This window comes from Homo sapiens, chromosome 3 (genome assembly GCF_000001405.40).
Source record: "Homo sapiens chromosome 3, GRCh38.p14 Primary Assembly".
Lineage (NCBI taxonomy): Eukaryota > Metazoa > Chordata > Mammalia > Primates > Hominidae > Homo > Homo sapiens.
Genome location: NC_000003.12, coordinates 80,547,153 through 80,565,570, shown reverse-complemented (window position 1 = coordinate 80,565,570; position 18,418 = coordinate 80,547,153). Strand labels below are relative to the sequence as shown.

The following is an 18,418-nucleotide window of genomic DNA, read 5'->3' as shown; positions in this document are numbered from 1 at the left end:
ATTCTCCTGCCTCAGCCTCCCAAATAGCTAAGAATACAGGTGTGCACCACCATGCCCAGCTAATTTTTGTATTTTTGGTAGAGATGGGATTTCTCCATGTTGGCCAGGCTGGTCTCGAACTCCTGACCTCAGGTGATCCACCTGCCTCGGCCTCCCAAAGTGCTGGTATTACAGCCGTAAGCCACACGCTGGCAGGTTTTTCTGTAATATTGATGACTGCATATTGTGAAGGTTCTAGTTAAAATGCAAATATGCTACCTGAGACAAGTAGCAGCTATGCCATTTTGACATGAATCAGTTTATCAGATTAACCAACATTATACACTGTAATATTTAAAGGATGTAGAATAGCAATTTAGAAATAGTATTGAAAATATTGGTCTAAAAATAAATATAAAGAGGAAACTTCCTGTGAAATTTTTCAATAAAGTGCTCATGAGTGCTATATTTTTCCCTTCTTTGTTATGATTAATATGTAAGAAGAAAATAAACTATCACACTTACAGTATTTGAAATGTCCTAGTGCTTTGCTCATATTGAGTTCACTAATTTACAAAGCATCCCTGAGAGATAGGCATTTTACAAAGCAGGTATAAGCACAAGTAAGGTAACTTTGACACAGATAGAAATTTTAAACAACATATTTTTAACATCAAAATATATTTCTGAAATTTTGTGATGTTAATATTTAGAAGAAAAATAAGGTTTATTCATCTACTGTTGAATAATTAATACTATGAATATATAATAAATATAAAAGGATGCTGCATTTATGGTACATTGCATATGATTTTGTGGCTCTCAAAAATATTATTGACCAATCTTTAATTTTGGAGAAAAACGTTGCTATTCAACTTTCTTATGAATATCAAAAACATAGTTCTTGAATGGAAACATACTTCCTTTCAAGGTGACAAGCCCTTGAAAGGAACGTAATGTGATTATTTTGCAAAGATAAAGTGAAGTAAATCTGATTAACTGTAACAAGTTTAACCAGTGATGAGTGTCTGCTGGTGCAGAATGTCCTGACATAATTGCAAGATAAAATAAAAAAGTACAGATAAAGGATTTTAGATGGTGATTCCACCATAAACTCAGTTGGTAAACAACAACTACAAAAAACTTGTTTTGTAGAATCTGCCTGAATTCTGCAGATGTTAAAGTATTAGTTAACTTTTTCCCTATCTCATTAAATATAATTTTAAAATCAGTTTTAAAATGGAGTAATTATCAAACTATGGAATTTAATATGCATATTATGTCCCAGTTTTAAGATTATTTGATGCTATCTAACACAGGTATAAGTTGGATCTAAATATAAAACATGTCTCATATATTATATTTATATCATACATATGTTTAGAATATACATATACATTTATATATGTTTTTTAAAGTGTATTTTTATATATTTTAATATGCTCTTGCTTACATATACTTTAATATACTTTATGCCTACATATTTTAATATACTTTTTAACTATAGAAAAACATTAGTACTTACTAGTGTTTGTGATAAATATACAGAGGTAAAATTTTCAAGTTAATATTTTTGTTTTTACCATCATAAGTTCAGGCACAACAATAGGAAAATAAAGCTGGGTAAATTAGCATTGTTTCAGGAATTTATTCATAATTAAATATTGTGGAAATACAGAATTATTAGGCAATTGGCAACAAAAGATTAGTTTTAGAAATGTCTGTTTATATCCTTTACAAGTTTTAAATGGGGTTGTTTGTTTCTCAGGGGGTCTTGTTTAATTCTACGGAAATTTTAGAACTGTTTTCTCTAATTCCGTGAAAAATTATATTGGTATTTTGATAGGGATTACATTGAATCTGTAGATTGCTTTGAGTCTTACATTCATTTAAAAAGTACGTATTTTATTTTTTTTTCCTAGATTTAGGGGTACAAGAATATTTTTGAACATGTATGTATTGCACAGTGGTAAGTCTGGGCTGTTCCTGCACTGCTACTGTAACCATCATCTGAATAGTGTACATGGTACCCAATAGGTAATTTCTCACCCCTCATCCACCTCCCAAACTCCAACGTTTTGCAGCATCCAGTGTTTATTATTTCACTCTATATGTCCCTATGGACACATTATTTAGTTACCCCTCATAAGTGAGAACATGCAGCATTTAATTTTCTGTTTCTCAGTTATTTCAATTAAGATAATGCCCTCCAGTTCCATCTATGTTGCTGCAAAAGACATGATTTCATTATTTTTTGTGGCTGAGTAGCATTTTATGGTATATATGTATTTATACCCTGCTTTCTTTATCCAATCAATCATTGATGGAAACTTAGATTGATTTCATGATTTTGCTGTTGCGAATAGTGCTGTAATCAACATACTAGTGCAGGTGTCTTTCTGATATAATGATTTATTTTCCCATTGTGTAGATGCCCTGTCGTGGGATTGCTAGATTGTTCTATTTATAGTTCTTTGAAAAATCTCCATACTAATTTTACCTTCCCATCAAAAGTTTATAAGCATTCTTTTTCTCTGCATCGTCACCAACATCTGCTGTTTTTTTTTTAACTTTTTAGTAATAGCCATTCTGACTGGCAGAAGAGAACATCTCATTGTAGTTTTAATTTGCATTTATCTATTATTGGTGATATGGTGCATTTTTTTATTTGTTTGTTGGCCACTTGTATGTCTTCTTTTGAGAAATGTCTGTTCATATCCATGCCAGTTTTAAATGTTTTTTTTTTTTTTTCTTATTGAGTTGTTTGAGGTCCTTGTGGATTCTGGATATTACTCCTTTGTTGTATGCATAATTTGCAAATATTTTCTCCCATTCTCTAGGTTTTCTCTTTATTTTGCTATTTCTTTTGCTGTGCAGAAGCTGTTTTGTTTAGTTAAGTCCCTTTTGTCTATTTTTCTTTTTATTACACTCACTTTTGAGGTGTTAGTGATAAATTATTTGCATATTCCAATGTTCAGAATTATTTTTCTACATTTTGTTCTAATTTTTTGTAGTATTGGGTTTTAAATCTAAGCCTTCAATTCATCTTGCGTTAATTTTTTTATATGGAGAGAGACTTGGTTCCAGTTTCGTGTCTATTTTTATACCACTATCATACTGTTTTGGATACTATAGCCTTGTAACATACTTTAAAGTTAGGTAATATGATGCTTTCAGCTTTATTCTTTTTGCTTATGACTGCTTTGGCTATTTGGGTTCCATTTGAATTTTAGGGGTGTTCTTCCTAATTCTGTGAAAAGTAACATTTGTATTTAGATAGGAATTGAATTGAACCTGTAAATTGTTTTGAGCAGTATGGCCATTTTAAGAATATTACTTCTTCCAATCCATAAGCATGAGATATTTTTCCATTTGTTTGTGTAATATTCAATTTCTTCTATTGGTGTTCTATACAGAGATTTTTCCCCCCTAGGTATCTAGTTTATTTGCATAGAGAACTCAAAGTAGTCTCTGATGATCGATAGTATTTCGGTGATATCAGTTCTAATGTCTCCTTTTTCATTTCTCATTGCACTTATTTGAATTTTCTGTTTTTCTAGGTTAATCTACCTAGAAGACTATACATTTTATTTATTTATTGAAAGAAAAAACTTTGTTTTGTTGATTATTTGCAGTTTCTGGTTTCAATTTTATTTACTTGTTTTCTGGACTTTGTAATTTCTTTTTTTCTGCTAGCTTTGGGCTTGTTTTATTCTTGTTTATCTAGTTCCTCAATGTGTGATGTTAGGCTGTTAATTTTTGACCTTTCCATATTTTTTGATGTAGGCACTTAATGCTATGAACTTCCCTCTTAATGCTGATTTTGCTGTATTTAAGTTTTGGTATGTTGTGTCTCTATTTTTATTTGCTACAAAATATTTTTGATTCTCAACCTAAACTTGAGCATTGACTCAAAGATCATTCTGGAGCAGATTTTTTAATTTCCATGCATTTATATAGTTTTGACAGTTCCTCTTGGTATTAATTTCTAATTATATTCCATGGTGCTTTTGGAAGATGCTTGACATAATTTCACTTTTTTAAGAGACTTGTTTTGTGGCCTAATATATAGTCAGTTTTGGAGAATGTTCTATATATAGATAAGAAGAAAGTATATTCTGTAGTTACTAGGTAAAATGTTTTGCAAATGACTGTTAGGTCCATTTCATATAGTCCAATTAAAGTCCATAGTTTCTTTGTTGATTTTCTGCCTTGATTATCTGTCTAGTGATGTTACTGGAGTTTTGCCATCACCCACTATTGTATTGCTGTCTATCTCTTTTCTTAGGTCTAGCAGTGTCTCTTTTATGATTCTAGGTGTTCTGGTGTTGAGCACAATATATATTTAGGATTGTTAGCTTGTTTGTTGAACTGATCCCTTTATCATTATATAATGACTTTCTTTGTCTTTTCTTATGTTGTTGATTTAAAGTCTGTTTTCTCTGAGATTGGTAGAGTTATTCCTGCTGGCTTTTGGTTTCTGTTTGCATGGAATATCTTCTTCCAGCACTTTATCTTCAGTCTATAAAGGTCTTTACCAGTTAGGTGGGTTTTTTAAAAGCAGCATATGTTTAAATCTTGGTTTATTTGTTTTTTTTGTAATCCTTTCTGCTAATCTATATATTTTAAGTGAAACATTTAGTTCATTTACCTTCAAGGTTAATAATGATATGTAAAGTGCTCAAAACATTTAACATTTTATTCTTTCTTTTTCTCTCTCAGGAATATCTATGACCCATAGGGTTATATGCTGTACATAATCTACTATTTCTCAAAGACTTTGTTTATTTTTTCATCTTTTTTTTTTTTCATTTTTCTCTGATTTGGATGAATTTTTAAAACCTGTCTTCAAGCTCTGAAATTATTTATTCTGCTTAGCCTGGTCTATTGGAAAAGCTTTCAACTGTAATTTGTAATTCCATTAATGACTTTTTTATTTCCAGAAGTTCTATTTTTTAAAAATACTTATCTTTTAGTATATCTTTAATTCATATCCTGAATTGTTTTTCTTACTTCTTTGTGCTGGCTTTCATCTTTCCCCTGAATCTCTTGTGTTACCTTACAATCCATATTTTGAACTTTTTCTTTGACATTTCGGAATTTCCATTTTGCTTAGTATCTACTACTAGAGATTTAGGAGGGCTTTCAACTTTCCCCTGAATCTCTTGTGTTACCTTACAATCCATATTTTGAACTTTTTCTTTGACATTTTGGAATTTCCATTTTGCTTAGTATCTACTACTAGAGATTTAGGAGAGTTAGTGTTATCCTTTGGGTTGTTGTAATACCCCTTTTTTTTTTGTACCGCCAGAATTCTTATACTATTTTTTTCCTCATCTGGAGAAGCTGTTCACTGTTTATTTTTGAATTTACTTTCACTTGGATGAAACTTTTTCCCCCTTGAGCACGTGATCTTAATGTATGTTGAGCAGTGTCATTTGGTTTTGCTTCTGGGTGTTTTTAGGGAGCCAAGACTCTGTATTAATTCCTTGGTTACAGATGGCCTTGATGTGGTGGCTTTCTCACATGCTGGTTGTAGTAGCAGTGTACTGGCATGTGAGCAAGTTCACGGCCTCCTGCAGAGAGGGGGACATAGATGTTGCAGAAAACTTATCTTGACCCCCAGGAGTGTGCATTTCTGTCAGCAGATATTACATTGGGTTGTGCAGCTCAACCTCCAGGCCGGTAGGTGGCACTTGCATATTAGAGCAGGCTGAGTACTGTGCAATTGTGTCCGCAGAAAACACAAAGTGTGAAAAAGACACCCCATTTAACAAATCGTGCTGGGATAATTGGCAAGCCACATGTAGAAGGATGAAGCTGGTTCTTCCTCTTTCACCTTATACAAAAATCAACTCAAGATGGATCTAACACTTAAACCTAAGACCTGAAACCACAAAAGTTCTAGAAGATAGCACTGGAAAATCCTTCTAGACATGGGCTTAGGCAAAGACTTTATGACCAAGAACCCAAAAGCAAACACAACAAGAAAAAAAAAAAGATGAATACGTAGGACTTAAACTAAAAAGCTTCTGCACAGTAAAAGAAGTAAGCAGCAGAGTAAACAGACAACCCACAGAATGTGAAAAAATCTGCAATCTATACATCTGACAAAGGACTAATATCCCAAATCTAAAAGAATCTCCAACAAATCAGCAAGAACAAAACAAAAAATCCCATCAAAAAGTGGGCCAAGGACATGAATACACAACTCAAAAGAAGGTATACAAAAGGCCAACAAACAAGTGAAAAAATGCTTAACATCACTAATGATCAGGGGAATGCAAGTCAAAACTGTAATGTGATACCATCTCAGTCCTGCAAGAATGGTCATAACAAAAATTCAAAAAGTAATAGGTGTTGGCAAGGATGTGGTGAAAAGGCAACACTTTTACAGTGTTGGTAGGAATGTAAACTAGCACAACCACCATGGAAAACAATCTGGGGATTACTTAAAGAACTAAAAGTGGAACTACCATTTGATCCAGCAGTCCCACTACTGGGTATCTACCCAGAGGAAAAGAAGTCATACGAAAAAAGATACTTACACACAGGTTTATAGCAGCACCATTTGCAGTTGCAAAAAGATGGAATGAGTCCAAATGCCCATCAATCAATAAGTATACAAAGAAATGATGGATTTGGGTGGAGGCACATCCAAAACATATCATTCCACCCTGGCCATTCCCAAATCTTATGTCCTCACATTTCAAAACCAATCATGCCTTTCCAACAGACCCCCAAAGTCTTAACTCATTTCAACACTAACCCCAAAGTCCAAATCCAAAGTACCATATAAGACGAGGCAAGTCCCTTCCACCTATGAGCCTGAAAAATCAAAGGTAAGTTAGTTACTTCCTAGATACAGTAAGGGTACAGGCAATGGGTACAGGACCAGGACACTGCTGCAACACATAAAGCAACTATGTGATAACAACTATAATAGTCTGAATGTAAACTCCTAAATTCATGTGTTGAAAACTTAATCCTGAATGCAACAGTGTTGAGAGGTGTGGCCTAATGGGAGATGTTTCAGTCATGAGGGCGAAAATCTAATGAATAGATTCAAGGCAGTGTAAAAATGGCTTTGAGGTGTGAGTTCACCCTCTTCAGCTCTACTGCCATGTGGGTGCACAGAGTTTCTGTCTTGCCCTTTTGTCTTCAGTCAAGTGAGGACACAGCAAGAGAGCCGTCACTAGGTGCTGGTACCTTGATTTTGGACTTGCCAGCCTCCAGAACTGTGAGGATAAATTTCTGTTTTATATTTTTAAAAACACTGTGTTTCTAATTAATACTTACCCCATAGCCCAATACTATTTTAAGTCTCTCTATATATAATTAATAGAATCTCAAATATACATATAGTTTATAAATCTATATATATCTCATATATATTCCATTTCTATTTTCATTGCCTTAAGGATTAGTTTATGTGAGACAATACCCATCAAAAATATCATCTTGTAATTCTGCATCTCATTTTAGCCATATTGCAGGTAAAGTATCTATTTCTTTATATAAAACAACATTATTTAACCCTTGCAAGGCAAATAGCATATAGTATATAAACAGAGGCAATTAAAGGCATGTAGTAAGTTGTTCAACAAGTGTTGATGAAATGAGTACATAAATGCATTCAGTATATATTAGTAAATGTGTAACCCATGAAGATCAATTAATGCATTAGGAGGAAAGTAACAGTACATGGGTTTTGCTTATTGTTGCTAAGATTTTATATGGATAATTTTAGGTGATGATACATGTCATAAATGGTGTTTTCTAACTGTCATTCATTTGATATAGATAAAGATGTTAAACAGTGTTTCAGATCTGATCACAAAATGTATTATATCTACAAATTTACATAGCTACCTTAAAAGTATTTGATACTGTATTTTTAAGCAATTATCAGCCGAGGCATTTTTTTTCACTGAAATTTTGTTCCTTCTTTTATATTATGTTGCGATTTTCCGAACTATCACTAGGATAGTTTTATAATTTATAGTCATTAAATAAACAATGTATCAGTGAAGTCTCTCTCAGACTCTATTCTGAGTATGTGGCAGGTAATACATAATTCACAATCAGAATCTGAAAAAAATTACAGTAAATCTTTCTCAAACATTATGTCATTATCTAAAATACCCTAAAATCCAGAAATTATGGCTGATAGATTTCTGTCAGGAATTAAAAATTTATACTTTATAATACCTATATATTTTCTTATACATATTTTGTGCATACAGAGATCATCAAAAATTTAATTTACTAGTTAAAGAGACTAGTTGTATAATAGTTGTTACCTAATATTGCTGCAATTATTTTATGAATTAGACCTGTTTATGTTTTTAATTATGTAGTTTGTTCAGTTACTTTGTGGTTTCCAGTCTCAATTATTCTATTTTTCCAGCAAGTGTAGTTAATGGTCACATTTACTGAGTGTTGCCTGGTGTTTAACTAACCCCTAAGATAGTGGAAAGCTAAAATTAAATATGCTTATCACTTCTAAGGGAAGAGATTGCCTTTCAAGCTGTTGCCCCAAAGTTTATTGGCTGTAAATCACCATTACCTACATGTCATAAACAAGCCTTGTTCTGCAATAGGACAAGTTGAGACTTTTCATTCAAAATAGGAATAGCAGATGGGGTGGCGAGCCAAGAATTATTGAGCATTACTGAGTGCTCAGCACTCTGGCATGTGTTTACCATATATTATCTATTTTGTCCTTGAAACAACTTCATGAGAGAGATATTTTATGCATGAAAAATCTTTAGTGAGTAAGTCATGCAAGCCACTAGCAATTTGAAAACAGACACAGACAAAGCCTGTAAGGTATTGCAGGAAAGTATGTAAAAATAATTTATAATTGTGAAACCTAAGGTAAATTCTAGATAAGGAAAAAAGTTATGGAGGGCTTGTAATAGATAAAAGTGTTGGGCTGATTGTAAATATCATTAGCAAAAGATAAAAACTATAATAAATGAATGAAAATAAGTGTGTATTTACATAGACATTTCATTTTGTAAATACTTGTGGAGTGCCAGGCACTGTTTAACCACTAATGAGTATTAACTTCTCTAATATTCAGAACAACCCTATATGGTAGGCATTTTGTAATCATTGTCTATGTTATAGAAAAAAAAATGTAGACACAAGTGGGATAATTAAGTAAATAATCCAAGTTAATATAGATAGTCAGTAGTTCCAATTCGGTTAGTTTTGTTCTAGAGTCCAACTTTCCAGCAGCAGAGTATAAGCAGCAGAATTTTATCAGTTGGAGATTATAGGACACAAGGCAGAATAGAGATAGCATATTTAAATTCCAGTGTTTGAACCGATCAAGATTTAGGGGTAGGATATTCATTCTGTGGGGGAATTAGGTAGCAAAAGAAAATTTGAGGCTGGGCGCGGTGGCTCACGCCTGTAATCCAAGAACTTTGGGAGGCCGAGGTGGGTGGATGATGAGGTCAGGAGATGGAGACCATCCTGGCCAACACGGCGAAACCCCATTTCTACTAAAAACACAAAAAATTAACCGGGCATGGTGGCATGTGCCTGTAGTCCCAGCTACTCGGGAGGCTGAGGCAGGAGAATCTCTTGAACCCAGGAGGTGGAGGTTGCAGTGAGCTGAGATTACGCCACTGCACTCCAGCCTGGGCGACAGAGCAAGACTCCAACAACAAAAAAAAAAAATAGAAAAGAAAAACAGAAAGAAAGAAAAGAAAATTTGACTAATAGGATGGGCTAGTACAACAAAGCAAGGGCTTGGCTCGACTTTTAAAGAACAACAGTAAAACATCATGGACCTCAGAATGAAATCCTGATACACCAAGGGAAGAGAAGAGCCAGTAGTAACTCTGGCTCAGAAATAAACTAGGAGTCTACTTTAAAAGGACATGCAATAAAAGAAAAAACTGTCCAGAAATCAGTGAAGCCTTTGCAAGCAGATGATGACAAAGGATAACCACCTAACAGACCATAGCAAATCAAGCCCAGTGGATTTTCCAGTTTTTTCAAATACAATAATCTTAACAGCTTCTTACACATTTGACCTTTTTAAAAAAAATTCATTGGAATATTATACGATTTTATATTTATGGCAAAATTCTCTGGACCTAGAAAATAGATATCAAGCTATATCCTTCTTTGGAATTTGTAGTAGCTGTATTACAAAAACAGCAAATCCCAAGAAAATCCTCATGGGATTTTAACATACATGTTCCATTTAAAATTATCCCAATGACTTGGATTCCTGGATAAGAGTTAGAGGCAGTGGCTACTGCACAAATTGTATATCATTAGAGTATCAAAATGATTTGATTATTTTCCAGCATGCATGTGACTTCATACAAGTATTGCCAAGAATATGAATCAAAATGTCAAGGAAGTGCAGGTGAAGCCAAATAAACAAGTTGTAGATTCAGTTCATACATCATTGATCAATGAATGTTATCAATTTTCATACAGCCCAGGATCCTGGTAACTTTCCTGTTGAGCGAGTAGCATAAATTTTAAATGACCTATGGCTCACCATGAGGAGAATTGCTAAAAAGCACTCTCAATGCTCTAAAAATATTCTGAATCACTACTCCACATAAAGGAAAAAAACTTTTAATGCAATTCTCAAGGGTCATCTTAAATGAATAGAAATATGTTTCTTTACAGTTAAATTTTCTAAAGATCAATTTCCAAATAAAAGTTATGATAATATAGGTAAAGAGAAATTTTTTTCTAGTTAACTCTGCACTTTGAAACTATTAAATGCTGATTACATTTAACACATTATAATTGAAAATTCTGACTATCTCAAATTATATTTTTATTTATTGTGCATTTAGAAGTTACAGTTCATTCATAAAAATATAAATCCACAAAAATGTGCTGATCTGTTTCATTTCATCCATTCAAGACTATTTGGAGTTCAGACCTGGTGTGCACAACATTCAAACGGGCTGTCCTATTGAAATCATTGTCAAGATGCTATTGGGAAACTATCTTTCTGGACCTTTCTCACCTGCAGCTCCACTTCTTCACATGCACGATCATAGATGGATACTTGCTAGCTTCTTATGAATCACTCATGCATTACTCAAAACTTTCAACACCGTAGGAACTGAAAGGTACATTCAAACTCATAGTACAACTATAGGGAATCCATTACAAGGCAGCCAGAGAATCTGTATCTTCCTGGAGTTTGTGGATGTAAAATTTTCTGTGCCTCTACCCTGTTATTTTCCTGTACCTTTCTGACAAAAGTAGATTCCTCTTTCCTGCATCTGTCCAAAGTAGAAGGATATTTATTTTACATTTAACCTCTTTGTTCTTTTTCTCCGCTAATTAAAACCTCTTTCTCTCCTTGTATCCCAACTCCTTAGACTGAGCACTCTGGAACTCTTAGTCATAGTCAACAACCTCCCATATATACATGAAATCTTCTTTAGTGGTGATTTTCCTTATTCGCTCACCCCATGCCTACCAGGGTTAGAAATGTGATTGTTATCTTCGTTGTTCTTGAACGTCAGTTTCCGAATAAAGAAAAACTAATGCTTTTCTTTAAATCCCACTTTTTCAAGAGTCATAAAAGTCAAATACATGACTGTTTCCTTTCTATTACAGTCCACTTCTGAGCTCCTAAATATATCCCCTCATTTATTTAAGATATTAGTGCCTGACATACACTCTTAATTTTCATGATTGTTCCTTTTGTTTCTCAGTATGATTCCATTATCCTCACAGATTACTCATCCAAAATGTGGACATTTCAGTTCTCTGATAACCTCTTCCTTTGACTACTTTCTCTGCCATTTTCCAATAAAAAGATGCATGTTTATAAATTTGAACTTACAGAAGCCAAGATGCAGTCATTTCTGAAATTAATAATTTAAATAATCTTCAGTAGAACAAGGTAATCCTCTTGTCACGGCTACCCCAAAACAATTTTACTTTGACTGTATCAGAAATTATAGCTTGATTTATTTTCTTACTTATTATTTATACATATTTCATCACCAATTACTATACTTTGTTTCTCTCTTAAGCCAGCACATATTCCACGATCTGCTGTTTCCATTATTATCCTCCTAATAAAATATTCTCTCCTAATCTCTGTGCCAGTAAAAAGCACCAACGTCTGCTCAGTTCTTTGGCCAGGTGCTTGTGAGTAAATTTAGATGTTGCATTCTCTTTGCTCCTCATATTCTGTGACTCATCAAGTCCTGTAAATTCTACTGTGTAAATATACCATGAATTCGCATATTTTTCTCCCTTATTATTCTCATCCTAGTGTTTCGTACCATTGCTACCTTCCACCTAAGTAGCATGAACCACATACTAAGGCATAATACATAGAATGAAAAAAACAGTTCTATATTCATGGGTCTGGTAAAGTTTGTTGTTGTTACTTTAATTGTACCACTTGATTCACGTGCTTATTTTGTATATTTCTCTTTTTTATTTTTACTAATGTAGCAATCAAGGGAACACAACTTTTGTGTCATGAACCACAGATTCATGATAATGGACTCAATATTATTATGCAGTACTGATTTGATGTTGAAAAATAATTACAAGGTAAAATAGTTTCTGCACTGCATTTTTTTTTATTCCTATCTTTTTTGTTACGCTGCTGTAAGAGTGATCTTTTTCTCTTTAATACTGGACTTTCTTCCCTAGAGTCGTTTTAGGTTTACAGAATAATTGAACAGAAAGTAGATTCCCTGCATAACCCACTCTCAGTCACTACAGTTTTCTATATTATTAATATCTTACATTAGCATGATACATTTGTTGTAGCTGATGAGCCAATATTGACACATTATTATTAATTAAAGTTTATAGTTTACATTAGAGTTCACTCTGTGTTATACATCTGCTTGGTTTTGAAAAAGTATAACATAATTCCACCATTACAGTATCATACAAAATAGTTTCAATTGCTCTAAAATTCTCCCTTCCATGTCTTCCTCCCTCTATTCCTTTCTCCTAATCCCTGGAAACCATGGGTCCTTTTACTCTCTTCCCAGTTTTATCCTTTTTAAAATGTCATGTAGTTACAGTCAGATAGCATGTAGCCTTTTCATACTATCTTCTTTGACTGAACAATATAAATATAAGGTTACTCTGCATTTTTTCACAGAGCAATCTTATAAAAATAAAAATCACATCTGTCACTATCCTGCTTAGAATTCCTTGATACCTTCCCATTGTTATACCAATACAGTTTAAAATTCTCAGCCTGAAACTGTGCTACTCAAAGTATGGTGTATAGATAAGAAAATGCAATCACCTAAGAGCTAAAGATTCTCAGGCATCACCTTAATGACCCTAGTATTATGGTCATCACCGATATACTATCAAGATCCCAAGATGACTTGGATGCATACAGAAGTTCAAAGGCACTGGTTTTGAAGTTCCTCCATGATTTTTCTCAACATCCTTCCTCTATCCCTACCGTGGACCAGCCATCTTCCCACCTGGTAGCCACTTCATAACAAAGAATCCCATTGTGCTAAAAACAAAGGCCTTTATTATTTTTCAGATGAATAAAAAGTTACAAAGGTGATCACTCATTAAAATAATAATTATGAAAATAATAAAATTAGTAATAAAAATAATTTCTTCTTTTAGAGTAGTACATATTTTCTCAGTGACAACTTACTTTGAATGTTATCTTTTAAGGCACCTAAATATTTTAACTACTTTATCCCATAATAAAAGCCTATGCAAATATGTTTTTAATGAAAAACTTCACTTTCCTTTCTATTTTTCCTCGAAAAATAACCTAAATTATTTGAATCTGTAGAGACATTCAGTCCTACAGTGAAAAAAGACTATAAAGACTAAAAAATACTATAAAGAAAGAAACACATTTATTTTTCTTTATACATACTCTGTAGTTCCCTTATAAAGAACAGAGCTATTTCAGCTAGTAAAACAGAAAGCTATGTATGTGTCAATAAGACTATAAAGGCATAATAACGCAGTATCTACCTATCAGTTAAAGGCTTGAATATAATTTCCTTAGGGAACCGTAGTTTGGACCATCGGCCAAGGTTAGATCCTTCTATTGTCTCCTCCCATGAACCATAATATCCTTTATAATATAACACTTGATACTTTTTTCTGTATATGCCAATGTCCTGGTACATTATAATTCTATTAAAAACTTAGAACAGAGACCATAGATATCTTATTTTGCAGTATGCTCAAGAACTAGGGCAATGCTTAAATCGTGAATGATACAATTGATTAATATTTTCTCAGTAAATGGAAATGTGATTTCTGAGTGATGTTATAAAAATTCATACCCAAATCTCATACCTTTAACATATATGTCCACTGCCTTGTACTGAGATAATTTATGTCCAAAACAAATACCATCAATTGCTTCTAAAGAAAGAGTCAAAAATACAAATGTCTTCCTTAAAAGGTTATGTAATTTAATACCTCTTTTGCATATAGAATAAAATCTAAATATCCCTTCATTTATTCAAGTTGAATATAGTCTACAAATTATTTAGTTGTATTTATAAATCAGATACGTACTTAGAAAATATATTGATCATGTTTAGTTCTTCCATTAAAATACAATCTCTTTTGAGGCCAAGACCAAGAGATTTTGCTGTTGCTTATTTTGTTTTTATGTTTGCCATTTTTTACCAAGCATGAAGCAGTTGCTCAATAAAAATTAATTTCCTTTCTCCTAAATATTTCAAAGCTCCTTTTAGAATTTATTTTATAAGCTTTATAATGTCTCCTGCTTCTAGAGAAATGTTTGTCGTTTTTCTTGTATATAAGCATGTTGGAATAAAATGGAAATTTCAATATCACACAATAAAACAAAGGTGAAACAAAATATAGCTCTCCTTTATCCCACTCACTACTCCCATCACAGCACCAAATTTCTTCATGGAATAATAATGGAAAACTGTATTTGAACTTGCAGGCCAACAATAACCAAGATCATAATAGGATGCATAGCTCCAAAGAAAAATGCCTAGTGCATCAGCAATAAACATAGGATAGATCCCTGAAATACTGCTTTCCTTGGGATTCAGAATTTATACTCAAAACATTGCAGTTGCTGTGAGACACCACAATAACAATTCTACAGTGCAGTTTCAAAGGTCTAATAAATTAGATTCTTCCTTGGCTCAGTCAAAAATACTGGGTTCAGCAGTTTCAACAATGGAAGCCTCATCTAATTAAATTAAGTGCTGCAAAGGCTCACGCCAGCAACACTACCTCGAGCTGATAGACTCAGGTTTGCAATATTGCTAATCTGGCGTGCAGCCACTGGGATGATCGTAGACACTGAGCCAACAATTTAATCTTAAGTAACTCAAAGACTAGAAAGGAGCAATTTTCCTCTTAATGGTGTAGCCGTCCTAACATGTATATTTATATTTCTCCCCTCCCATATATCTAGAATATTTTTGGAAGGCTCACTTATTACTAAATTGACATTTAATTTTAAAAAAGACTGTGAGCTCATCACTATTTTAATATGCCAGCTAATTTTCGTCTAAAAGCATCCGCACTGAAAATGACAAATTTTGTTTGAAGATACAATTTTTTAATACCGATAGTTCTCATAGTATATGGGAGATTTATTACTTTCCTGTTTGTAGGTTTGCTTTTTTCACTTATTTTTGGCTTGTTAGTATGTTTGTTGTGATAGTGTAAATAATTAAATTCAAAGTAAAACTTGCCACTGTGAACATTTCTAATTAGAAAACTGATTTAATTACTATATTTGTCGGTGCTATTTTAAAATCCAGGGTAACATATTTTTATGATTTTAGAGCACTGATTTTTTTTTCAGTGAGCATATATTTAAATAGTTTTATTTATTAAAACTCATAAAAGGCCAACTTAGTTATTATCTGACTATTGATTTGATAAATAATTTAAGTTTTTTTAGAGAATAATTTTGCAATAAAAGAAGTATATCATTGTGTTCATTTCAGTCAGGGCTGCATCAAACTGTTAGAGTTTATAAATGAAAATAAACAAAAAGTAGAGTGCAGAGTTATTTGGCTAAGAAACTGAATAATAATATTAAACTTCAAATATATTAATCAAAGAAAATGAGTAACATATAGTTATCATTGCAGAAAAAAATGTGGCATAATGTCTTACTCTGGTTTTTGAAACATACAAAAGAATGCATGGTTTCAGGTGGAATCAAGAGCACACAGTCTGAAAAAAGTCACCATGAAAGAATTTGTGAAATGTACGGAGGACTTTAAATGTCAGGGCAAAAGACAAAAGCTTTACACAGAGGGCTGGCTCTCACTGAAACCCTGAGATTAAAGGGAATAGGTGAAAAGCTTTTGATGCTGCTATGTAATAACAAGTCTAATGTAAGAAAAAATGGACAATTTACTATAACATTGTAATGAGTAAACAACAGGAGATGAGGCTGAAAATATGAAGTATCAATGAATTTGGAAGACAAGACCAGGAAGCATGGAACAATCTTAAAAATGCTTAACATGAGGTGCATTTTAACAAGATCTATAGGTAATTGACATGAAAGTTAAAGTTGGGAAAGCACAGGGTTATACAATGCTTCTGTTTAAGTAGACTGTGAAGTCTATCTAGATAACATGCCTAGTGTATTCACTTTCATAGGTATATATTAATTAATTGATCGATTATCTCAACAAATCACTTGAAATTAGTATTATGTCTATTAGATGTTTCTTGGTGATCGGGGTCACAAGTTTGAGAGAGAAAAAGAAAGGATATGGTAATGTGTGTAACAATAATGAATGCATTGAACATTCTTTCTCTAATCACTCTTCATAGTTATTTATTTTTAATAAGACAGGTTATATAAGTGCGCAATTTATTTGGCTTCTTTACATTAAACAGAGTTATCAGAATGATTTTTGCTCTAATATAAATAGTATACTTTAAATGTTTTTTCAGATATTAAATCAGGATTATAATGAAAATTTTCAATTCTATGCTGTTGGGTGGCTATATCAAAAATTGAAGAGATTGCAAAAAGACTTAAACAGTATTTTAAATGCATTTTAAAAAATAGTTAGAGATTAGTAATGTTTATTAACACAACCATTATTACATTAGAGCCAGAAGGAAAGACCTCCTGAGTCCTGCCTTGTTCATTTTCCTTCTTTCAGTTTCCTCACCAAATAGACAAGTAACAATAGAATATGGAGACTTAAAAAAATCTTTCTTTAGAAATAGTATGATTCAGAGTAAGACTCAGATTCACAGTTGCTATAGTCTGAAAATTTGAGTGTCCCCAAAATATTCACATGTTGAAAGCTAATCCCAGTGTGATGGTTCTAGAAAATGAGGACTGTGGGAGTTTATTAGGTTATGAAGTCAGAGCTCTCATGGAAGGCAGTAGTGCCCTTATAAAAGAAGCCCCAGAGAGAGGCTTTGTCCCTTCCACCATATGAAGACTCAGGTACAACACACCACTGATGAACCAGAAAATGTGCCTTCACCTGTGACATTTTTCCTATGTTCTTCATTTTGTTATATGTTTTTCTACTATGCGGTCTCTCTGTCGTGGCATCCTGTTTTTGCTAATGTACGTGTCATGGAATCCCAGGATTAAGAAAGACCTCAAAAGTTTCCAGGCATAACCACCTATACGCTAGGTTTACCACTTGTCACAGCATAACTGTCAAGTTCCCATCAATACCATGCATGTTCTTACTGCCTTACATCCCATGGGAAACATTTCTATACTTAAAAATATCAAACTTTAAAAGTTTTGTAATATTGAGAGGGATATTGTATCACTGAAACATCCCACAAACCACTCTAATCTTAGGTCTAAATCTTAATTCTAAACATTTTTCAAAACAATTGTGTCTTCTTGTTAAAGGTTAACAACAACTTATCCTTGTAATCTTTGAAAATCTTCTTATCATGAAGTATTTTATTCTGCAAGCCACTGACTTTCATATTTTAGTCTTTCAACATATTTATTGATTTATTTATTCCTCCTCAATAATTCACAATTGCACATTTGGAATTCCATCTTTCATATTTCCCCCAGTACACATTTCATAATTATATTCAATTATTTCTCTTTCTTCTTATTTTAGACTTGTACTTCCAATGTGCACAGTGAATAATTGCTGTAAAAATTCATAAAAACTTACGTTGGTATCTAGGTTTGCTCTAGTAGTATGCAAGCCCACGAATGTATGATATCAAATGGCCACATAAAAATACACATATTAACTGTGAAATGTTAACACTGGTTAATGACAGAAATGATATTTTGTTTGTGGTACATGTAGATCCATCCATTTGTTTCTGAATCAAATCTTCAAAATTTTAAGAAATCCAAGAAGTGATAAGCTAGGCACAGAAAGGCAAACATCATAGGTTCTCACTTATTTGTGGGATCCAAAAGCCAAAAACAATTGAACTCATGAACATAGGCAGT

The 18,418-nt window shown here is 32.9% G+C and overlaps 1 long non-coding RNA gene across 2 annotated transcripts in view, besides 1 other annotated feature; it reads left to right on the top strand.

The window, feature by feature from the left end:
• Nucleotides 1-18,418, top strand: part of LOC105377177 (uncharacterized) — a 250,124-nt gene that overhangs the window by 204,778 nt on the left and 26,928 nt on the right. The window lies entirely within an intron of this gene.
• Nucleotides 9,959-18,020: an enhancer, noted in NCBI's record as "VISTA enhancer hs1995". NCBI's record gives its function as "enhancer in: facial mesenchyme[5/7]" and the evidence as "EXISTENCE:transgenic organism evidence [ECO:0001131][PMID:17130149]".